At 40.3% G+C, this 25,705-nt stretch overlaps 1 protein-coding gene across 9 annotated transcripts in view, besides 1 other annotated feature; it reads right to left on the bottom strand.

Annotated features, from left to right (window-relative positions):
• Window positions 1-25,705, bottom strand: part of SGCD (sarcoglycan delta) — a 1,039,957-nt gene that overhangs the window by 358,751 nt on the left and 655,501 nt on the right. The window lies entirely within an intron of this gene.
• Window positions 6,200-6,539: an enhancer, noted in NCBI's record as "active region_23493". NCBI's record gives its function as "activates an Ori minimal core promoter by ATAC-STARR-seq in GM12878 lymphoblastoid cells {active_cell/tissue: GM12878}" and the evidence as "EXISTENCE:reporter gene assay evidence [ECO:0000049][PMID:35858748]".

Raw genomic sequence — 25,705 nt, 5'->3', positions numbered from 1 at the left:
TTTTTATTATGTTACTGTTTAGTTTTTGTCTTCCTACTTCCAGGAGAATATAAGCCCCATTCACTAGGGAGAAAACACAACAGCAGAGCTTGCAGCTGTGAGCAAAGAGGGGCTATTACCCCCCTTTATATAGGTGTGAAAACTGAGACTTGAAGAAGCCCAGGGACTTGCCTAAAGTCACCAGGAACTGGTAAATCTGACTGAAGAGCTCTCAATTTCAACTTCTTTCTAGACACAGAGGTCTTAGCCTTGGAAAAGAAGGCAAAATATCCTCGGGAATGGGAAAGAAAGAGAGGATGACTAAAGACAGAGGAAAAAGGGGACAAAGAGAAAGATGGCAGAAGACAAGGGGTGATACGCACATGAAATTCAACATGGGGGCTGGGGGCGGTGGTTCACGCCTGTAATCCCAGCACTTTGGGAGGTGGAGGTAGGTGGATCACCTGAGGTCAGGAGCTCAAGACCAGCCTGGCCAACTTGGTGAAATCCCGTCTCTACTAAAAAGACAAAAATCAGCTGGGTGTGTTGGCACATGCCTGTAATCCCAGCTACTGGGGAGGCTGAGGCAGGAGAATCGCTTGAACCCAGGAGGCAGAGGTTGTAGTGAGCCGAGATCACACCACTGCACTCCAGCCTGGGTGACAAGAGCAAAACTCCATCTCAAAAAAAAAAAAAAAAATCCAACTTGGGTTCCTCCACAGGAGCCCGATTAGGTTAAACCAGGCTTTTCAGGGTTGTATCTACTACACATCCTGTACGCACATGTCCAAGGAGTGCAATGTGGCTTCCTCATTTTGTTGTTACTGGATGTCCTCTTATCCCTTGTAAAATGCTTAAAGCTTCAAGAAACACTCATACTTCAAGATGAAAAGACAAAAGAGCTAAGAGGATAGTAATAAACTTTTGGTAGAATGTGGTATGATTTCATAATCTCAAATTACATATTCAACAGCAATATTAAGATGAGAATGTAAATATCACTTTTTCACAGCTACTCCTTCTTTATAATACCATCTTTGAGGTAGACATGAATATTCCCGAAACCAAGCATTAAATGCCACCACCCTCCACTTTAGGGGATAAAAATCTTCCTCCTCCACATATGTTAAGGACAACACCATAAGGTGGCAAGTTTGTAAAAATGAGCTTTGGGAGTGGAATGTCTTAAAACCAATCCCCTGAACACTCCACAATGGCATATAGCAGACTTTATACAATAATCATTAAGTAAGCAAAATTAAACACCACTGATATAATAACAATCATATACCTGTGAGAGAAATAGACTTACTCCCCTTCCTCCTTTATTTCCCCCACTTTGTGTGGTATTTCCCCTTGAAAATCTCCTTTTCCTTTCAATTAAACAAAAGCTCAAGACACTCCTCATGAAACCAGTAATGGCCTTACCATAGAAAATTTAACTGAGTAGATTATAATTTCCCTTACATTTTTTTTCCTTCAAGTTCTGTTTCTTTTGGCAATGTCTTTTAAAAATTCTTTACTTATTAAGCTCAAGTTTGTTCAACATTTTATGAGTTTCTGGGGATATGTGTTCAGATGAAGAGACGATGATCCCCTCCCCCGCTTAGGCTCACAGGCCAATGAGGGAGACAGATTTCAACAGCAACAGGAAAGGAAGAATGCTACTTCAGAGACAATGCATAAAGCACTGTGAGGGCCCAGGAAGCACCACAGCTCTGAGGTTAAGAGACAGTCCTTGACATCATAAGCATGGGTTGCGATTATAACAGTTCCAGGCTTATGTGCTGGCTTAGTATCCATAAAAATTTAGGCAGGTGTGATGGCTAATGCTGAGTGTGAACTTGCTTGGATTGAAGGATGCAAAGTATTATTCCTGGGTATGTCTGTGAGGGTGTTGCCAGACGAGATTAACATTTGAGTCAGTGGGCTGGGGAAGGCAGACCCACCCTTAATCTGGTGGGCACCATCTAATAAGCTTCCAGTGAATATAAAGCAGGCAGAAAAACGTGAAAAAGCAAGACTGGCCTAGCCTCCCAGCCTACATCTTTCTCTCGTGCTGGATGCTTCCTGCCTTTGAACATCGGACTCTAAGTTCTTCAGTTTTGAGACTAGGACTGGCTCTCCTCACTCCTCAAGCTTGCAGACAGCCTATTGTGGGACCTTGTGATTATGTAAGTTAATACTTAATAAACTAATATATATACACATATATATGTGTGTGTGTGTGTGTGTGTGTATATATATATATATATATATATATATATAAAATCTCCTATTAGTTCTGTCCCTCTAGAAAACCCTAATACAGCAGGTAACTTAACTTCCTTAAACCTTAGCTTCATCCTCTGTAAAAACAGAGATAATGTCTACCTCATCGGGCTGTTTTGAGCATTCTGAAAGAGAACTTGTATAAAATGATTACTGCAGGGAAAACACTCTAAGTGCTTTTGAAAAAGTCCACTTCCTGGGGAAGGTCAGGGAAGGCTGTGTGGAGGTGAAACTTGAACGGATTGAAGGACACATGTAGAAATCACTGGGTGAACGAGACTGGAGAAAAGGCTATAGGAAAATTTACTCCAAAAGAGGGAATTGGATGCACCAAAATAAAGAGAAGAGGAGAGGAGAGGAGAGGGGCACAGGAGAGCAGAAGTAGGTGAGTAAAACTTATCACAGAGTGCACAAGGATGGCTGCAGGAATGAGGATGGAAGGGGATGAGAAGCTGGCAGTGACACACAGAGACGCTGGAGCTTCTCCTGCAGTTAATGAGAAGCCACTGAAGGGTAGCTGTGTTAATGGCCCAGGAATTACAACATGATGCTTCAAGGAAGGACATCACCACCAACAATCTTTTTCGTGCAGTCTCCAAGGTCTGTGGCTCTCAGGTTATTTCTTGCCTTACAGAATTCCTAACAAGCCAACCATGGTCTGAACACATTACAGTCATTCAATCTTTAATGCCACGGACCAGCTGCTGCTAAAATTATTTCTCTCTCTGAAAGAGGGATTTATGCCCAGAGGCCTTTTTTTTTTTTTTTTAAGCAAAGATAGGGCCAAATACAGCAGGTGATATCTACACACAGGAGTGGATACAAAATCCAAGAGGCGTGTTGATCAATTATTTAGTAGGGAGTTTTGGCCCCTGCCTTGTAAAATCCATCAACTCAAAAGGATGTGGGAGCACCCACTGGGCCTCAGGTATCTGGCCAGACTCAGCAGAAGACTCAGGAGCTTGAAACTGTGGTCCTGCCCCCAGGCCTATAGCCAGGGAGGCAAGACAAAAAGTGGGAAACTAAACCGCACAGGACTCAAAACCATCTTGACAACAAATTAAAGTTACTACTCAGGCACAGAATTTAAGAACTCGCTGATAAGAGGAAGACAATTTCTCAGGGGCAGAAAACACCTCAAAACCCTTGAAGAAGTTTCCTTGAAGAGAGCTTGGGAGAGCAGTAAAATTTAGATGACAGATGGGGAAATGGGATATTTTCAATCTGTGATTTCTAGACTTGGCAATTTTACTGTTTACTAAAATTCCCAAACAAACCCTATAAGGCAGGGAGAGTTGACATGGGTTTGTAAACTTTTTTGCTAAATAAGGAAGATTTTGTTTAAGATAGAAAAACCTATCCTCTTCTAGGATGATCATTTCATAAAAGCAAGAATATTCTACCATCCAAAATGGAAGGGAAACAAGCTCTGAGTAAACTGCATATAATAATTTTCTATTGCTATGTAGAAGATGATATGTTTAGTGGCATTTATTTGTCATCGCCTGGTTTCTGTCCTTCAGAAGCCCAGACAGAGAATTGGGTGCTCTGAAGAGGGTCTTACAAGGTTGAAATCAAAGTTTTGCCCCAGGTCGGAGGCTCTTTCTCTCTTGTTAGTTGGTGCCTGGGGACCACTCTTAGGTCCTAGAAGCTACCTCAGTTCTTTGCCATGTGTGTCTTTTCACATGTCCACTCTCTGATTTTCTTAGTCTGTGACCTCTATACCCAGATTTGAAGGGCTTATGTGATTAGGCTGGTGACTCCCAGAAAAATCTCCCTTTTGATTAACTCAAAATCAATTGATTAGTAGCCTTAATTGCATCTGCAGAATCCCTTAGGCAATAACATAATCACAGAAGTGGCATCACATCATATTTACAAGTTTCTCCCTCACTGAAAGGAAAGAATATAAGGTATTTACTCCAGGGAGCAAGGATCTTGACCGCCATCTTAGATATCTGTCTACCATGATGTACATCTTCCAAAGAAATAAAGTGCCAAATTCATACCAAAATATTTTAAAGGATATATTTTAAAATTCTTGAAATATAAAATTTATCTCAGTTGTTACAGCAAACCCATTTTTTCCATCAGTAAAAGAAAAAATATATATGATCTACCATTGCATTTTGAGAAAGGGTATACATATAAAGTGTTTTGAGACAGAAGCTGGTCAGTCAGGTGCTCTGTATGACATGAGGAGTGAGGAGGAATTTGAGATTTAAAAGGTAGGAGGGAAGAAATAAGACAAAATATTCTGGATGTACTAGGGGTAAAAGGCAGAGGCAAGGAGCCCTCACGGTGATTCAGAAGAGAAACACTGACTTAGGAAGAAAGATACATCGATTAAAATGTTAATCAAGACATTTGCAGCAGGAGGTGAGAGGTGAACCCCTTGCTCTGGCTCCCCTATGACATCTTCAGTAGAATCTGCATTTCTCTCTAATATTTTGTGAGACTGACATTTCCCTGACAAATATGAAGAAGTATTGAGCTCTGCATCGAAGATAGTATGGGACAAATAGAGAGAATGCCTATGAAGATGACATTATATACACATAATACAGGTAAGCCGATGAAGGGAATGGGAACAACATTCTTAAGAATATTCGTGCTCAATTCTGAGTATTCTGGGTGAAAGAGAGGTGAGGAAGGCCAGGCACAGTGGTGCACACCTGTAATTCTAGCACTCTGGGAGGCTGAGGTGAGGTGATCATTTGAGGTCAGGAGTTCCAGACCAGCCTGGCCAACATGGTGAAACCTTGTCTCTACTAAAAATACAAACATTAGCTGGGCATGTTGGTGCACCACCTGTAATCCCAGCTATTCGAGGAGCTGAGGCAAGAGAATTGCTTAAACCTGGGAGGTGGGAGTTGCAGTGAGCCAAGATCGCACACTGCACTCCAGCATGGGTGACATAGTGAGCCTCCATCTCAAAAAAAAAGAAAAAAAAATATGTCAGGGAATATCATGCCCTTCTCTCCCAAGTTCTTTTCTATCTTCTCAAAGAACTAAAGAAAAAAAACCCTCCATAAACCAGATGTTTAACTGCAAAGGCTGGTGATGAACATCAAGGCCTAGATCAATCCTCATAAGGCAATGGGGAATTTATCTGAGAGTAATGATATGACTGGCATGAGGGACCCCAATTCTAGATGTGCACACAAAGACACGGGAGCAAGTTAAGTCCAAGTCTTTTGCAGCCTAGTGAACGTCCGGCAAAATCTCACAAACATTCCTCCACCTATCATTACAGTTTCCTTAGCAGCAGCTCCAAAGGGAAGTCATTACAATCATCTCGGCGAGTCAGAAAACATGAGGAATTGTGGAGGTTAAATTACCTGCCTGGGGCTGCCACACAATATGGAGCAGAGTTGAGATTAGAACTCCCCAGTGCCTATGCCCAAGGCCTTTGCTCAACCTTAATAGACCGCGAGTTCTCTAAAAGCAAAGCTTTTCCTTTGGGGTATGGCAACAGAATTACAGAAAACTGTACCAGGAATGGAGAAATTGTGATTCTAAGGAACACATTACAGGCCACCTGATCCTGGGCTTGTCTTGATCTTTTACTCTGAAAGCTGAAGTGCACTGCTGTGACTTTTCCTCACTGGGGAGGATGGATGGAAGGACAGACAGGAAAAGGCGGCAGGGTGGGTTGGAGGAGATGTGGATTTGGGACCTGGGGCCGCAATGTGGCCCCGAAGTAGTCAACCTTAATGTTTCTGAAACAATTAGGATAAACATAAACTCCTCATAGGAATAATACCTAACTTCTGCTATCTTGCCAAAAGACCGCGGCTATCAAATGGTATAACTGCTGGGGAAATCAGTACGGCAGTTCTTCAAAAAATTAAATGTAGAATTACCATATGATCCAGCAATACTGAGGCAGGATAGGTAGTCAAGGAAGTAACCATGTCTTTGGGGAACGCGGTAACCATGGTGACCGCATCAACACAAAGAGCCCTAGTGCTCACATTTCAGTCAAGCTCGTCCAAGTAGAACTAGCTTCAGTGGGGACTTTCCCCTGCAGAGAGCATGCACATTTTGATTACTTGTCTTCAGACTGACCCTTTGATTATTATAATAGTAAAAACACACCCCTGGGTGGAGATTTAAGATGTTAACAAGACATGCAAGCATTCTTGCAAGTTCATGCATGTATGAACAAGCAAGTAGAGCTACTGCACATGTGCACCTAGAGGGCCACCCAGAACATGCTTACTGGTAATACCTCTTCCCACCCCCTTCTGAATAATTATGTAAAACTCCTATAAAGGGAGTTTCCCCAGTAACAGGCAACGCTGTCTCATTTCGAGCAGTCTGCGCTGAATCATCTCTCAGAGTATACTTTCTCTTTTGCACGTAACCTTCAGAGTGTGCATTCTCTTTTGCAAAAAATTGCTCTATGCCATATGTCCTTTGCTGTGTGTCTCTTGCTTACATTATTTTAACTAAGAAGATAAGAACCAAGGTCTCATACTCACTGTCAATAATACCACTTTTAGGGATATACCCAAAATAATGGAAAACAGGGACTCCAACAGATATTTGTGCATGAATGTTCATAGCAACATGATGCACAACAGACAAAAGGTGGAAACAGCTAAATGTCCATTGATAGATGAAAGGATAAACAAAATGTTGTGTCTACGTACAATGGAACACTATTCAGTATGAAAGGAGTGAAATTTTGATACATACTACAACACGGATAAACCTTCATGACATTATGTTAAGTGAAATAAGCCAGACACAAAAATGCAAATACTGCATGATTTCACTCAAATGAGGTCGGCAGAGTAGTCAAACCCATACAACCAGAAAGCAGATTGCTGGTTGCCAGGTTTTGTGGGAGTTATTATGTAATGGGAACAGAGTTTCAGCTTGAGATGATGAAAAAGTTTTGGAGATGGATGATGATGATGGTTGGACAATAATATGCATGTACTTAATGTCGCTTGAACTATATACTTGAAAATGGTTAAAATCATGAATTTATGTATAGTTTATGAAAATTTTTTTTAAAAAGAGGGAAAAGACCATGACTACTTATTTCCTATGTGTATCTTCACTAGACTGTAGGGGCTATGAATGTTGAGGCCACTTGGTTTGCTTATCATATCCCCAGTACCTTGCACAGTGCCTGGCACATAGTGAGTTCTCAATAAATATCTAATTAACCAACTATGGTCCAATGTTGTAAAATGCTACCACCTGTGGCTTTCTTTGTCACAGTATCTTCTTTTTGACAATGTATTCATTATCTCTTAACTGCATGGCAGCTCTCTACACTAGGCAGCCCTCTGTAATTAGGCTAATTAGGGCCCTTCATGGCTTTGCCAATGAAAGAACAAGATGAAATAGTACAGACTCTACCTACCTTGTTGAATGAATACAGAAGATGTTGTCTGGATTAAGAAAAGTTTATTGTAACACTGAATGATAGAGCACCTTTTACTATCCAATAATTGTTAATATAGCCCATGGGTTCCAGCTCTGTCTCGTCATCAGCCTCAATTGGGGAACTTATTAAAAATACATATTCTTTGCTTTTCATAGCTGCCCTTTCCATAGCTGCTTTAATAGGACTAACATGGGTCCTGGGAATCTCAATTTCTGTTTGCATATTCTCTTAAGTTACTGTGCAATTTGGAAACCTCTGCTCTAATCACTTCATGTGTATGTCTTGCTTCCCAGATTAGCTTATAAGCTCCGTGAGGGCAAGAAATATGTCTTATATTTTGTATATTATCTGCAGTGTCTAGGAGGTTAATCAGCATTGAGCTGAATGATTAACACTCTTATAAGCATAAAATGGCATGCAACACTGGGTTATCCTACAGACACTCTGCCATTCCAACATCTCAAAACATAAGAGCCAAATGCAGTTCTTCATTCTAATGCAACTCTATATATTGCCTTTTGGAGCAATATCAGCAAGAGCTGATTATTCCTTTAGGTCCACATCTGTTCTTTCAAATATTTGGAATTTAGCAAACTTATGAATAACACATTTCAAATCATAGGAGAGTCCAAGAAGTAAAAAGCTGCATGTTGTCAGGGCCAAGCAATGTGTGTTTAAACTAGAACAGCTGCAGATACAAAGCATAAGAATTGCTTTAAACAATAGTAATTTCAATGATTTCATACATAAACTGTTCTTTTCCAGGCAATATAAGTTGTGTTCAAATTCATTTTACAACTAGTAGGAGTAGGTGATCTTTCTTTTTAATACTCCACCCAAAACTTTTGTCCTTATTATTCTGTAATGAAGTCTAAATTCTATTAGTAGCAACACATTATTTGTGCTTCAGTAGTTATCTGTCCAGATGTCCCCTTTAAAATGTGGATGCATTAATTTATAATTCCTTGGCACTTGAGTTTAAAGTAGGTCATCATATCCTCAAGTCAGACAGGACTATAGGTTTAATAAGACCTTTAGTCAAGCACTTTTGGGAAATGATGGAAACTGTATATTTTCTCCAAGTGTCAATAACATATCTCCATGCTGGCTCTCACCAATAGCAGCAGCATTACTTGGGAACTTGTTAAAATGCAAATTCCCAGGCCCACACCAAGAGTATTGAACCAGAAATTCTGGGGACAGAGTCCAGTAATGTGTGTTTTCACAGCCTTCCAGGTGAGTCTGATGCTCACTGAAGCTGGAGAACCACTGTATTACCACAGGAGTGGTTCAGAAAGGCCTGCAGCAATGAAACATGCTTATTTAAAGCAGCCTTACTTACCCTCCTCACCCCATTTCATGTAACATCTATTAACTTCCATAGACTCTATGGAATACCTATTAACTTTCATGAGGTACACATTAGAAATTGCTGTACCAGATTATGGAAAAGCAAAAATATTTTCATCACATGATTGTCAATATATAGTGACAGGAACAAATATTTCTTATATTCTGCTATGTTCCAGGCCCCAGAAATACGACGTTAGATATGACAGACATAATCCCTTCTTCTCTAGGATGTACAGTCCAGTAAGGAAGAAAGATAAACAATGAACGTGTAGAGAATGTTATGTGTGAAGTCCACACAGTGTAGGGAGAAGGCAGGGCACATTAACAAGGGAAATGGACAATTCAGCATTAATTGGGTCATTAATCTGCTTTGCAAGCCATTTTCATCTTTCTCTTGTCTTCGTTGTCTTAACTAAGGGAACTAAAGCATCTGCCTCCAGCAGATATAAAAAGACTACTGCACTCAGACACACTTTCGGGAAGCCCCAAGTACAAGAGCCCTGGAAAGGTCATGGTCATCAAGGAAGCTGGCCAGTAAAGCCACACTGGATATCCTCACAGACAGAACTATTTTCTCTTAGGTCCTCTGATCTTTTGGACTCCTAAAGGCAGGCTTCTGGTTTGGTGGACCTGCTGCTCAGAATGTAGCTGAAATTTGAAAAACAGGTTATAGAGAATATTGCTGCTATAATGGATTCAAAAATCCTGGATTTGCCTAAATTTGCACCTTGAGAAATCCTATAGCTAAGTCACATGGCCTATAACAATGAGCTCTTTGAGTATGGAAAATTTTCTGTTGTATTTACTGACAAATTCCCAAACTCTAGAAGACTACTAACACAAAGTAGTCTCCCAGCAAATATTTGTCTTTTGAGGGTCAGCAAAGCCTCTGTCAATCTTGTACTTATCTCTGTATTAATAGTAATATTAATAGATCAACTATTACAACAATAAATTTTAAATCACATGAAAACTCATATACAATGGAGCATAGCAATCCAATAGAACTTTCTGAAATAATGGAAATGTTCTACATCTGCGCTATCTAATATGGTAGCCACTTAGTTGCATGCATGTGGCTATTGAGCACTTACAAAATGCCTAGGATGACTGAGGAACTGGAGTTTAATATTAATTAAACAGCCACATGCATCTAGTGCCTACCATATTAGACAATATACCCAAAGAGGTATAGGATCCAAGCTAATGGGGGCTCTGCCACCCTCAATATATGATGTTCAAGGTTACCCTAGAAGTCCTCTGTCCAGTTAAGTTTGAAGAGAAAAAGAGCATGGGGAAGTACAGGTAAGGCAATTTTATGGGCCAGGCATGTAAGTGGTATGTATTATTTCCATTTATATTACATGAGTGAGAACTATGCACTTGGTCACATCTGAATGCAAGAGAGGCTGGGAAATGTAGTCTCTGGGTGTGTAACCACCTGCCAGCAACAACTCCACATTATGGCAGGAAGGCACCTATTATTTTGGTGAATAGCCAGCTTTACCATGCATAACTATAAAGAAAGAAGTTTGTTTTCTAGGATCCTTTATCATCTGCTCCCCTCCCAACAATCTTAGTAATAAAATACTAGAGCTGGGTAAAAACTAATAGATCATTTCATTCAATTGTCCATCAGATGTTCAGAACATTCCCCCAACAGGCCTTTCTGATTCTAAATAGATTCCTCAACAAACCTAGAGGGAGGCTCTTTCTGCCCACTCATTTCTTCATTCCGGGTTTTCCACTGCTTTTTCCCTTCAAGTAAAACTTAACTGCACTTTCTCTTAGAGCTTAGCTGGATGATAATATTACTCTGATTAACACTTGCATGTGAATAATACCCACAACTCTATCACTTCAGACTGTCAGGTCTCGCAGATGACACATCTGCATGTTAAACCAAAGGCCAATGCCTAAGCAGAAAGAATAACCAATGAGGGAACTTCAGGCAGCGCCTCAGGGGAGATGTATCCAGCCCATAGGGACAGCTTTCAAATTCCCTGGAACACTTGTATAAAGGGGTTAAAAAGGTTTGGATGCTGACCCAGAAGCAAAGGGCCCTATGTTAATAAATCCTGCCTCTTTATCAGCCTCAGGACAGATTCAAACCCGTTTTTCAATAGGCAAGAGAGATGGAGAACAACAGATCCTTTTGCCCAGAAACCCATCAAATTTGTGCCTGCTCTTGGTTGGGAGCTGTCAAAAATCATTTTACCCTGCTTCCTTGGAACTCGGCATTTAAAATTTCAGTCACTTGTTTAGCAATGACTTATGTACTGCTTTGAGGAGGGCTCCGCGTGGCTGGTTAACTTGTACATTTAAGACTTGTCTCTCCATAGACTCTAAGCTGCTCGGGGAGACAGGGATGCTTTTCCCACATGTTAATCTTCCAAGCAGTTAGCACTGTGTCTGGCATGCCACAGGTCACAGTGAACGTCCAACTGCCCAGTGTGGTCAACAGGGCCTGTAAAGCTCTTCTGGACAATTTGAGTTCTGGTCTCAGCTGTGTAACCTCAGGCAAATCACTTTCCTTCTCTGAACATTGGATTTGTCCTCTAGAACGGAGAGGAAAAAGTATAGCCAGAGCCTGTGGGTCAAATCCAATTTGGGGATTGTTGTTGTATAGCTTGTGAGCTAAGAATGGTTTTTACATTTTTAAAAGTTTATAAAAAGCAAAACAAAAAAGAATATGCAATTGAGATTATCTGTAGACCTTGAAGCATAAAACTTTTACTCTTTGATCCTTTATAGAAAAAGTTTGCAGACCGACTGCCCTAAAATAAAGAACATAAACTAGAAAAAAAAAGTTTTCTTTCAAACTTCATTCTCTCCCTCCTCCTTATTGGAATGAGCTCTCCAAAGGAGATCTTACACAAAGTCCAGATACTGAATATATAACCCAAATGCCAGCCTGCTCAGGTTAATGCAGGGATGAGAACCTGATCAATACTCTTTCCTCCAGGGCTCCTTTGTGACCCTTTAACCTCCTAGAAATAGACCTTAAAAGTCTCAGACCAAAATATCTGTAAAGCCCTTTTTATGCCCCAGTCGTCTTTGTTTCTGAGAGGCAGTAGGACCTAATGGCTAGTGCTTAGGCTTATGAGTCAGAGTACTGGGACTGAGCCCTAGCTTTATCTCTTACTACCTGTAGGTATGGGTGAATTACATCACCTCAATTATTCGAAATAGGAATCACAATAGTAGGTCCTTCTAAGTTCCAGTGAAGGTTCAGTGAAACAGTGCATGGTCAGCATTTAGCAGGCCTGCCATATACTAAGATGTCAGGCAGTGTAAGCTATCATTATTATTGTGAGAACACACTCTTTTTTCTGTCTCCCACACATGCCTGCCTCTTGAAACAGCTTCAACAATACTGTCCAGAGGTCAATAAGTCACACGTTGTAAACTACCCTACCATGCTCCACACCGCGGAACACTCAAAACATATTAACCAATCAATACTGTTGGCAGAAAGCTCAGCATCCCTCGGTTGAGAAGTCCAACAAGGGCATGAAATATTTTCTCTCCAAAACCCCGCTTACCTAAGCCCCAAACCCTCCTGATACCCTCCACCCTGCAACAATAAAAACACACAAAAACTACATATATAAATAAAATATTTTGCTGCTAATGAGAGGCAACCCAGCAGTTTTCTCATCACTCCACTGACAAGTTTATGTGCTCCACAATTGCAGTCGAAATATTTTTGCTATTTTCATGATTTTCTTGGCTTCCTTCCCAAGGAATTAATCATTTCTACAGCACTGGAGAGAAGCTGAGAAATCGCAGACATGACTGAATGACATGATAGTGCATTCTCTTTGCCCACGCCGAATCTCTCTCTGTGCATGAAATTAAATCGTTCCAGGGGAAAATGGATTGCAGTGGTGGGGAGAGTGTGGAAGCACAACTCCTCCGGGGCTTACTTCATAAAAAGGGTTCAGTTACCCAGGTAGCTTGACTTCAGTTCTTCTGAGTTTTCAAAATTCTAAGTGAAGAAACATGAACATATTCAAGGTCCTATGGATATGTCAAAATTAAACTCATAGTATCATTGTGTTGGCAGTAAATAGTTGCTCTGGTAGACCAACTACAGTCATAACTAAGTAGGATGACTCCTTGTGTCAAGTTTTGAATTAGCAAATTTGACCTAGAAGGAACTCTAGAGATTAACTTAGTTTATCTCCTCATTTTGCAACGAAGGAAGCTGTATCCCTGTAGGGCAGGGTCGTAAAGCCCACAGGCTACAGACAGATATATATGTGTCTGAAACCAGGCTCTACCCCTTCCTAACAAATCATGTAACCTCGCTAATGATCCTTTTCCTCTCTGCAAATGTTGGAGTACCTTCTTCACAGGATCATGAAGAGGATTAGATGTACAGTTTAGCACAGAGCTTGGTACATGTTGAAAGACTGAATATACAAATGGATGATGGCCAGACCGTATATAAAACAGAACTGAGTCCCACAAAATGCAGCAACCTTCCCAGAAAACCATTCCCCCATCTACAATAAACAACTCATGGAGCCAGCCAGCTAAAAGTCAGACTTGCAGGAAGCCAGACTACTGTCTCTACTGACAATCCAGGAAGCTAAACAATAACTCTAACAATCTGGCCTAAAATGGCCAGGACGTCATTAAATAACTGACAGCTTCCCTAATTTTGTCTCAGCTTCCAACTTAGGACCAACCAGAGAAAGCCAAATATACATCCTAACCAATCACATAGGATGCCCTAGTCCTAGTTAGCTGCATCCAGCTTCTCCATGGCACAGCCTGCAAGCAAGGCATTCCTAAAGTCTTCCCTTTTGTCCATTATAAAGCCCTCTGCCTGCCTTTGAGTCTCTGCCAAAATGAAAGTGATGGCTTGACTCTCTTACGACAGCAAGCTCAGAATAAATAGCCCTTGCTTCTCCCATTTGTTTAGCATTCACTCATTTCCACAATGCACACACACTTACCTTGCACATACCCTGCATAATCACACACATCCTGTCATTCAGTAAATTAAGGACAGATACAGCCAGTACTGTGATTTTTCAATACACGGATAAAGCCAATAGCAAAGGAAGTAACCAGTGCAATATGATTATGTAAGCCTGTTCTAGCCAATATGAATTCTCAAAAGACTATATGTTTACACAGTGTTTCCTCTTCTTCCAATAACTTACCCAACATGTTCCCTCTTTTGCTATCAACTTTTTGAATGAGTCAGAGACAGAATTGGCGCATCCATAAAAGCACAGCAGGCACAAAGCCAAGGGCCACAATATTTTTAGAGGAATGAAATTAAAACACAAACGTTTTAATTTCTTTTAAAATCGGAAGGAAAAAAGCAGACACTTACGTCAAAGAAAATACTTTATATCACATTAACATATTAGTTTTTATACCAACACAATTGCAAAATATAATTCTTACACATATTTTTGTGGAGGAAGGAGCCCCCAAAAGTGAAAATGTCTAGGAACTTAAGTAGCTAAATTATGGCCCTGATCATAGATGTAATAATTGTCCTTTTTGTGGATAAGTAATGGTCACTATCAACTGTTTAGTACAGGTTACCTCTTACAATCTCTCGTATTGTCTCTTCTCCATCATGTTAATTCCCAAATTGGTTTTCCAGCTATTTTCTGATATATTAATCCTTTTAATTTACCCCTTCTTCAGTTATTGGAGCTATTATGTTCAAAGTACTGAAGAGATCATTACTCAATGTGTAAAAAATAGTTTATAAACTCCATTGGTATTACACAACTGCTTATCACAATCTGATCTTAATTTATAAACTTACGTCATCCACTACTGCCACTTCCCACCACCCCCCAAACAAAGCTTCCCATCCTTGATCCAGACATGACTAAATCATAACTTGCCAAGGTTATCCTCCACCTACTGTGTGCCAATACATTCTGCTCAGTTCCTACTCCACATATTGTATTCTCATGAATTCCTCCCAAGTGTCCAATATGAGACTTACTTGTCTGACTCCCAAAGCACCATTAAATCACAATTGATGTAATTAGTTAGATGCATCTTTGTCTTTTACTGCTTAGAATGTGGCCTTTTTCAGGGAAAGAATCAGGTCTTACCCATCTCTTGTGAGTGTCAACGACCAACATTTGTTAAGTGGCATACCCACAGTACAAAACTCACCAGCAGCAAAGTGGGTACTGGAATCTGAGTCACCTGGCTCCTGGTTCTGGCTCCTCTCAGCTCATTCCACAACATCTGAATAGCCAGTTAAATCTCAGAAGCAGATGGATGCTCTAGATGTCAAACATTGCAGTAAGACAGCACTTTGTTAGTAACTATGTACCAATGGCTCTGGGAGATGGATGATCTTAATTTGTAGTGCTTGCCAATTTCTGTGGTGTAAATACTCTCACTATGGCCAATTTCAACCTATTAACATGACTTCACTCTACATGGAGCAGAGAAGAGATGCACAGGAGCACGCTATCATGTGGTGCGTCCACCGCTACACAGATACAATAAACTAAATCACAGCAAGAGCATCAACAGCCATAAATGTAGGAAGAAATGAGTTTTGAGTATTTATTATCTTTTAATTTATTTAACTGTATGTTTATAAATGATTTAATTTTAATAATAGCTGTTTAACAACTGACTTATTGGTAAAATTCTTGAACATTTAACAATTGGCTCTCATGAGCCAGTGTGAGCTGGCTTCACTGTACCACAAACAGCGTGAAGCTTGTATGAATGTAGTCTATAGGATTCTTGTGAAAATAAATACCCCTAACATTTGAGGTCTTAGATCACCACATAGTAAAGGAACTGCTTAATTACATTTCATTTATTCAAGCATGTCCGTCCTGTCCCTGTCTCTTGGTTTCCCTACTGATAGAGAAGCGAAATGCTGAGAAGAGAAGGGCGTGGTCCCTTTAAATGATATGGAAGCGGGGCAGGGAAGTGCTGGGTAGAGGAGGGCATGATCCCTGGCTAGGGCTCCAACCCTGGGCCTGTGCCCACAGACCTAGGTGAGGATAGGCATTTTTGTTTTTCTGCCCAAATGTTGAATTTCCCCGCCACGCCCCCATCCTGTGCCTATAAAAACCCGAGACCCAAGCAAGCAGGCAGACACACAGGTGGCTGGATGTTGGGAGGAGCACATGGGTGGCTGGATGTCGAGAGGAATGCACTGACAGGCACCAGCATGCTGGCAGGCCACCGACCAGCAGAATGACCCAAAGTTTGGCTGGGGCAGTCAGAGGAGAGCACAGGCCACCAAGGGGCCCGACTCCAAGGGAAAACTATCTGCCTTCTGGCTACCCTACCTGCTGAGAGCTACTCCCACTGAATAAAACCTTGAACTCATTCTCCAAGCCGACACATGATCCAATTCTTCCGGGACACCAAGGCAAGAACCCTGGGATACAGAAAGCCTCTGTCCTTGCAATAAGTCAGAGGTCTAATTGAGCTAACACAAGCTGCCTATGATGGTTAAACTAAAAGAGCACCCTGTAACACATGCCCCCCGGGCCTTCAGCTGTAAACATTCACCCCTAGACACTGCCATGGAGTCAGAGCCCTACAACCTGCCTATCTGTATGCTCCCCTTAGAAGTTTGAATAGTGCACACTGAAGAAGCAAGCCACACCCTCATGGAACGTCCTAAGAGGGGGCAAGGGAACTTTCCCCATTTCACTACTACACAGTTTCCTTTTGCCACATGTATTCAGTGTCTTCTTGTCCCACCAGACTGTAGGCTCTAAGAGGTTGAAGACCCCGTCCATTCTTCACCACTTTATTTCTGATGTCTGGACCTCAAAAAATGCTTGTTGAATGTATGGATGGGGTAGATATGAGTGTCTTGTTGCTATCTATCACTGTTATACTGAGATGATAATGTAATGCTGCAAGATAGCAAATGTCTTAGAGTCTGAAACAGGAGCCATACAAAGGTAAGTATTTTATCAGTGTGACCTAGTATTTCTTGCATTTGAGAAACTCCTAATACATTCAATATACGTAGTGCTAAAAGAACTAAAGTTGCTAACAGGGACATGTTGCAACACCTTTTCAAATGGTTTATACAAAGCTCTAGACATTAACTATGAATTAAAACGTGGCACAACAACTTCTCATGAAATCACAGCAACATTTCCCAAGGCATTAGTTTATTCTCGTCCAAAATTTAAGAACATTTCAACAAAAAAGAAAATATTAGACTTGGATGATATTTTTTGCCCTGCAAAATTTCAAAATATGATAGTACTAGCAAACACATACATGTATATAGAGAGTCATCCCTTAGTATCTGCAGCAGATTGGTTTCAGGACCCCCTGCAGATACCAAAATCCACAGATGCTCAAGTGTCTTATAAAATGGTGTAGTCCTTGTATATAATATACACACATTTTCTTATACACTTTAAATCATATCTAGATTATTTTTAATGCCTAATACAATGCAAATGCTTTGTAAACAGTTATTACACTGTATTGTTTAGGGAATAATGACAAGTAAAAAGTCTGTATGTGTTCAGTACAGATGCAACTATCCTTTTTCTTTTCTTTTTTGTTTTAAATACTTTCTATCTGTGGTTGATTGAATACACAGACGGGAAACCCACAGATACAGAGGGCTGACTGTATATACAGCCATGCGTCATTTCACAATAGGCACGTGTTCTGAGGAATGCATCATTAGGCAATTTCATCGTTGTGCTAACATAGCGTGTACTTACACAAACCTAGATAGTAGAGCGTGCTACACACCCAGGCTGTATGATATAGCTTATTGCTCATAGGCTATAAATGTGTATAGCACGTTACTGTACTTAATACAGTAGGCAACTGTGATGCAATGGGAAGTTTTTGTGTATCTAAACAGAAAACATACAGTAAAAATATGGTACAAAAGATTTAAAATACAAAGTTTCACCTGTATAGGGCACTTTCTTGAATGGAGCTTGCGGGACTGGAAGTTTCTCTCCCTGGGTAAGTCAGCGAGTGAGTGGTGAGTGAATGTGAGAGCCTAGGATATTGCTGAACACTACTGTAGACTTTATAAAAACGGTACACTTAGGCTACACTAAATTTATTTTAAAATTTTATCCTCAATAATATATTAATCTTAGCTTACTGTAACTTTTACTTTATAAACTTTTATTTTTGTAAGCATTTTGACTCTTTTGTAATAAAACTTGGCTTAAGCACAAATGCATCATACAGCTGTACACAAATATTTTCTTTCTTTATACCCTTATTCTATAAGTTTTATTAAAAAATTTTTTTCATATGCATTAAACTTTTTTTTTCCCTGAGATAGAGTTTCACTCTTGTTGCCCAGGCTGGAGTGCAATGGCAAAATCTTGACTCACTGAAACCTCTGCCTCCCGGGTTCAAGTGATTCTCCTGCCTCAGCTTCTTAAGTAGCTGAGATTACAGGTACATGCCACCACACCCGGCTGATCTTTTGTATTTAGTAGATATGGGGTTTCACCATGTTGGTCAGGCTGGTCTCGAACTCCTGACCTCAGGTGATCCACCCGCCGCCATGGCCTCCCAAAGTGCTGGGAATACAGGCGTGAGCCATTGTGCCTGGCCCACTTTAAACTTTTTGATAAAAACAAAGATACAGACACACACATTAGCCTAGGGCTACACAGGGTCAGGATCACCAACAACGCTGTCTTCCACCTCCACATCTTGTCCCACTGGAAGATCTTCAGGAGCAATAATGTGTACGAAGTTGTCATCTCCTATGATGACAATGTCTTGTTCTGAAATACCTCTAAAGGACCTGCCTGAGGCTGTTTAAATGTAACTTTTTTTTTTAATAAACAGAAGGCATAGACTCTAAAATAATAAAAAGTATAGTAATTACATAAACCATAACATAGCCATTTCTTATCATTATCATGTATTATGTACCATACATAATTGTATGTGCTATACTTTTATACAACTGGCAGCTTGGTAGGTTTGTTTATACCAGCATCACTGCAAACACATGAGTAACATGTTTCAATACCATAAGACGACGACTATGACATCACCAGGCTATAGAAATTTTTCAGCTCCATCAATAATCTTATCGAACCCCCATTATCAATATGTGGCATAAGGCTCTGTGTGTGTGTGTGTGTAACATAATATATACCAGCCACTATTATTTAGTCATACAACAAGCTTCTAATGTATGAACTGTTATCATGAAGAAACTGAGGCACAGAAATTTAATCACTTGCTCAAGGTCACATGAAATCTGGATTCAGACTCTTTGTTCTTAATCGTTACACTATACATCAGGGGTCTCCAATCCTGGTACACAAACCTGTATCAGCCTGTGGCCCGTTAGGAATGAGGCCACACAGCAAGAGGTGAGCAGGGGGCAAGTGAGCTTTACTGCCTGAGCTCTGCCTCCTGTCAGATCAGTGGGACAGTTTCATTCTGAAACCCTCTAGCACCACCCCCAGCCTCCCCTGCCTCCTGCCCTGGCCATGGAAAAACTGTCTTCCATGAAACCGATCCCTGGTGCCAAAAAGGCTGGGGACTGTGGCTGACAAAGCAAACAATACTATAACTCCCAGATGTCTTTGGACTTGTATCCTTCTGGAGATAGTCCCAGTTCTTCAAAAGTAGGAGTTTTAATCTTCTTACCAAGTGTCTGGGGTAGGCATCCAGTCTCTGTATGAGGAGGGAAACCCTAGTTTGGGGATATATGAATGGCTTCCCTAACCAGTGAGACAAAGACCAGGAATTTCTCCAGCTTCCCACCTTTGGGCAAGCCCTCCATGGCACAATTTCAAATAGGGATATATCTTGCAGAAATATACAATTGTTAAGGTTCTGGTTGCCCCCAGCTTTTGTAGCCAACAGAAGTCCCAGGGGAATAAAATGCAGAGGTTTATCATTGAAAGGCTTGGAGAGGGGAAGCTTCAAAAACCTGTGCCTATTCAAATATTTGAGCATGTATACATTTGTGGGAGTGTGATGGGAGGCAATGTATAAGTCCTGTGTCAGCCTTACTCTAGATAAGAATTGTATTGTACCTTCCCCTTGTCTTACACTCATTACAGAATCAAATAAACATTTCCAGTATGTACATGTAATGAGATCCTAGTAGATTGTACAAATAACCTTGATTTTACAAGGCTGGCATTGAGATCTTCTGGTCTCGATATTCTATATTTCAAAATAGTATCTGTATTATGTTTAAAGGCTTAGGGAAATATTTAAAATACTAATGGATTGCTATTATTCCTCTTCAGTTGCTAAAAGTTATAGAACAAAAATATTGGAAGTTTAGAAAAAGTGGGAGGAAATTTTAGAAGTTACATTTATTTTGTCAAGAAGAATCACAACATTGCTGAAAAAGTTGGAAGAACTGGTCTAATTAACTCATTCAAGATCCTAGCTGTATTTTAATGTAGCCCATGCATAGACTCTGGCACTTTGGGGTCTTCAGACTGCCAAATCCAAAATCAGTTTCTAGGAGAAACAGCAATCAGTCATTAAATGATTTCTGATTCCATTGTGCTTTAAATTAAATGATACCTTCAGGCCCTTGCAAATGAAATAACAACTGATTGGGCACATCTGATAGTCGTTTGATTACTGCCCATATCAGAACACTAGATATGCCAAAGATTGCCATTTGCTTGGCATCTGGTCGTTGAATGACTCTGCCTTCTGTGTTTAATCCATCTATTGTCTTTCTGCTAATGAACCAGGGTCTATGGCACAAACAGAAGTGTTCAAGGAAACTATCATAGGGAGGCTTTTTTAAGAAAAAAAATACAGTTCTTCCACTCACTTCTTGAATTTCTCAATAGCTGCCTTGCCCGGCTATCACACATTTGTTTTTGATAACTCAGAATCACAGGTTGGTGGTGGTGTCAACAAAAAATAGACTCACTCCAAAATTTAAATATGACCTCTTTGTAACCTCAGAATGTGAAATCCAACTTACACAGCTCTTAAAGCAAGGCAATCCATCAATATCAACTGAGCCTGAAAAGATAATTTAGCACAGCTTCATACCTATTGAGTCTTACTTAGAATCTCTCTCCCTCTCTGAGATGAAGAGTTGAAATAGAAAGGGAAGAACACAAGAATTGGAGTTAAAGAAACCTTTGCTTTTGTAGGTATCAAAACAAATAAGGTCAGTTTTAGGCTATAATACGAACGTGGCCATAGGGAAACTAATGTCCTGCACCGTCTTGTATATTTTATTTTGTGTCAAAGGCAATACTCATTTCTTCTTCAACATGCACATTCCCCTAAATAAGGATATTTTTCTTGAAGTTGTTTTTGGGCCCTCTTTTCTTATTGAAAATGCATTTTCTTCCCAACATCTCAGAAAGTTATTTAGAGACCATACTCTCTGCCAAACAATAATTCTGCTTTTATAAAGCCATGTCATGCTTCAACATCTAATTCTTCATCTGCTAAGACAGAGTTAGCAAAGAATATTTTGCCTTCAGCTGGGCCCTGTTAGTCCCTTGACTCAGCTTATAGGTGCAATACATCATGCTTGGAGGCTCTCTGGTATTATATAACCTCCCATGCATAACTTGAATTAGCAAGGAAATGACATATTTGTATAGCAATTAAATATATGTTTAGCATTCCCTGAGGCACCCCCCTCCCAATTATTTAAGCTAAAAGCACATTAATCATTTGCCAGGGTGTAGCATGATAGAGACAACAGTCGTTTCTGAATCCGGTGTTCAATACTGCACCCAGAAACAGAATCTGAATTTCTACAATCTTGAAATGTCACCACACATTGATTACACTTACACTTAAACATAGCATGCTCTTTCAAACAACACCACTTGGAGCTGTCGCATACTCAAATGCATGAGGCTCATGTGCTTCTGTGTTACCCACTTCACAATAAAACCATTTATTACTAAGCATGAATGAGAGGGAAATGGGAGGCAAACTCATTCCCCAAGGCCTTCTTGATTTGGAAGTGTATGCTTGATGGTTCTCCAGTGCAGTACGATTTCAGAATCCATTAGGCATTCTGAAATGTTCATTCCTGACTGTTCATAAATAGTATTATTTTTAAAGTACACTTTTAACTGGTGTGTACTCTCCCCACAAAAAAGTAACAAAACAAGAAACAACAATGAATAAACATACCTTAAGTTGGCTGACCAGTTTGAAATACTTCTTGGGAATGTTAAAAACTTTCTGGACTACTGGGATGAGCTTGAGATGGTTTGGGCTGATTTCAATGTAATGACATCCAAACAAACAAACAAAAAAGCCAACACTTGTGCCCCATCCCTCCAACACTTGGAGTGCTCCGAAGCTCTAAAGAGTGAGGGAGCCCCAAGGGGATCACCATCAGGAAAATACCACCTACATCTGTATGAGGCTTTGTACTTCTGAAAATATTTCCACATCCTTCATTTCATTAAGATATATGGCGGCATCGCAAGGGACTATTAGCACCCTTACTTTACAGTTGAGAAACTGAATTTCCTGAATTACAGCTGACTTTTTAAACAACACGCATTTTAAAAGTTGCAAACTCAGATATTTATGCTTAAGTCCAGTGATTCATCCATTCAATGTGATAATGCAGACGATGATTATAACCCTTGGCCACATGTATTGTATTTGCACTTTGTGCTATGTTAATATTTGTATTAAAATTTTAAATATATTGTTAATCCTCATCACCTACTTTAATGGATGTTAAAATTTAGATTTAGAGAGACCAGGGGACATTCTCAGAGTCACACAGAAGATAGTCACAGACAAACTGGCTACAGAGTCCACCCTCTTTACCTTGTCACACCCTACCCTACACACTATAGGGTCCTCAGATCACACTGCTGACCACACAATCTGATTCAGCACAGGGACTTCAGTGCTTCAAAAACACTTGTGAATGTGTAAACTAAGGAAAGCTCAATAACTATACTATCACTAAAACAGATTGGAAGGCATTCTGACCATATTTACACCTAACAAAATAAGAAACACTGTAGTCATCATTACCTGATAGGAGATCTGGATTTGAGGATTCAGAGTTCACTCTCTGACTTTAACTGTATGCTTAGGGGCAAAATGTTTACTTTTCCTACATCTCCACCTGGCCTCATTCAACACCAGAGGCAGTAATGAAAAAGACCTGTGAGGGTAGTTTGGGCAACTGTAGGAGATAATACATGTAAATATCACTTAGCACAGTGCAGGCCACTGCTCAAAAAATGGGAATGTCGGTAATATTTAACAATGCATCTAAATCCATCACTCTGAGCACGTAAAGCTCTGGTTCTTTGTGGTGTTCCCTCAATCTGGAAGATTCTGTCTGCCTTCCCTCCCACTTTAGAATCATCAGTCGAAGTCCTTTTCTTCTTTGCAGGCCCAGATAAGCTCTTACCTCCTCCAGAGAGAGTTCCCAGATGGCCTAAGTTGGACCCCTTCTCTAACTCTAATATCCTCAACATGTTTTCTGTATCACTTGTCCAAACCTTTGTCCAAATATATTGTGAAAATAAAATACCAGTGAGGATTGTTGAATTTAAACAAATCTTCTCCTGATGGTTTTATCTTTAACTTCAAAATGTACCACCTTTGTGAAGAACTATGTTGCTTCCCCCACCCTGTTTCTTATTTAACTTCTTACTTGCAATCATACTTAAAAAGCATAAAAAATATGTGCAGGGAACCCTGTTTCAAAGCCTCCCACTGACCAACCAGCTACCACAGTGCCCTGGTGCCTGTTGCCTACAGAGAAATCTAGACTTTAAATTTAGGGGGTGGCCCAGTTACCCTCATTTTACAGAAAGAGAAAATGAAGCTAGAAAAGAAAGGTGGTTTGTGAAAGGCATAGGACTGGTTACTAGTCAAGGTGGAATTAGAGCTCAGGTCTCTGAATTCCTGGGTTATTGCTCTTTCCACTGCACTTCACTCCATCTAAATGCAGACTCTGGATTACCTACACTTTTGAGTGGTCTCTTGATGATTTTAATGGTGTGCATTTCTGGCTGGATTCCTGCACCACCCACCCATGCCTCAGAAGACATTCTGCCCACCCAGCATTGGTGTGCTTTCGCAACCTGCCATCTCTCCTGCCTGAGTCCATCCTTGAGTCCTCCTCCTAGGTCATATGAGAACTGCAGGTTCACCTTGGAATAACTGGCTTTCAATAACTAACAAGCCCCAGGCTCCTTCTTTAAGACACCCAAGGCCTGGAGTGACAACCAAAGTTTGCACATAAACAAAAGGCACAATTTGTCTTCATAGTGTTGCATTAGAGAACATTACCCTAGAGTCTAGAATTCTTAAAATCTCTTAGAAACTACCCCAAATCACATCTGATACCATTGACAATAATAGTGGATGGGGGAAAAAAATGCACATCTTTTTGAGATGTTTTTTAATTGCATCTCTCTGTAGATAAAACTCAAGAGTTAATTCTCTCTTGGCACTTAACTTTTTAATTTGTGCATTTATTCGATTATTCAACACACATATGGTGTTCTATCGTCACTGTCCAGCACAGTGTCTGGCACACAAGCTCAATCAACTAGATAGATAAGGTTCTTATTCTCTTGGAATTCCTATCCTAGTGAAAGAGAGCCAAGTCACCAAGAAATCACATTACAGAACAAGAAAGGCTTTGATAGGAAACATTCACAATCATTCAGAAGCATACAGGAGGGACATCTCACATAGATTTAGGCAATCAAAGAAGGAAAGAAGGCTTCCTGGAAGAAGGGATTTATATTAAGAGCTAGTGAAAGAACTGGAGCTAAGAAAGAGTAAAGTAGACTAACGAAGTAGGAAGACAGAACCACATACTCAAAGATTTGGAAGTAAGAAAGAACATGGTCCATTCCAGCAATGCGAAGTATCCAGTCCTCATCCCTCTTCTTGTCTCTTTCTGGCATTGAATGTGCTACACATATTTAACTTGTGTGGATTCAACAGCATATCCTTGCTGCAAATAACTCAACCTCGGCAACTAAACATGTACACACCGAAATACATATAAATATACATGAACACAATTTAAACAGCCTGGACCCTAGGATGAGCATGAGAGAAGACTTGACATTCAGTCAAGCTCAGTCCCCCATATCTTTATCACAGAGTCTCTTGCCATATTCAAATGATTCTGGCATTTCATTATATACATATATTCTGATGACTGCCCCTAAAAACAAGCAAATTACTACATCTGGCATCTGGTGACTCATCAAAGAAGATACGATCTGTTCCAATACTAGAGGAATGAAGCAGCTGTTTCAGACTTCTGCAGTGATGACATGTAAGTTTCTAATGTGAAGAGATAGCCAAGGGCCATTTTGAGCCCATGTATGTTCTCCATTATGGGCACTGGATAGACTTCACTTTAGTTTCCAGTCAAATTCCCTTTTATAAGCAAGAAAACAAGGCTGCTAAGAGAAACAGTGACTCACCCAGGCTCCACAGTGACCAGAAGCAGAGCAGCCCCAGGACTCCTATATTCCTAGTAAATGTCCTATTTTTTTTTCTTTCTTTCTTTTTCTTTTTTAAGAGATGGAGCCTCACCCTGTCACCCAGGCTGGAATGCAGTGGCGCGATCTTGGCCCACTGTAACCTCCGCCTACTGGGTTCGAGTGATTCTCCTGTCTCAGCCTCTGGAGTAGCTGGGACTAACATGCACATGCTGCACGCCCGGGTAATTTTTGTATTTTTAGTAGAGAC

This window comes from Homo sapiens, chromosome 5, assembly GCF_000001405.40.
Source record: "Homo sapiens chromosome 5, GRCh38.p14 Primary Assembly".
Taxonomy (NCBI): Eukaryota; Metazoa; Chordata; class Mammalia; order Primates; family Hominidae; genus Homo; species Homo sapiens.
The sequence above is the reverse complement of the archived record's forward strand: the minus strand, read 5'-3'. Positions and strand labels throughout refer to the sequence as shown.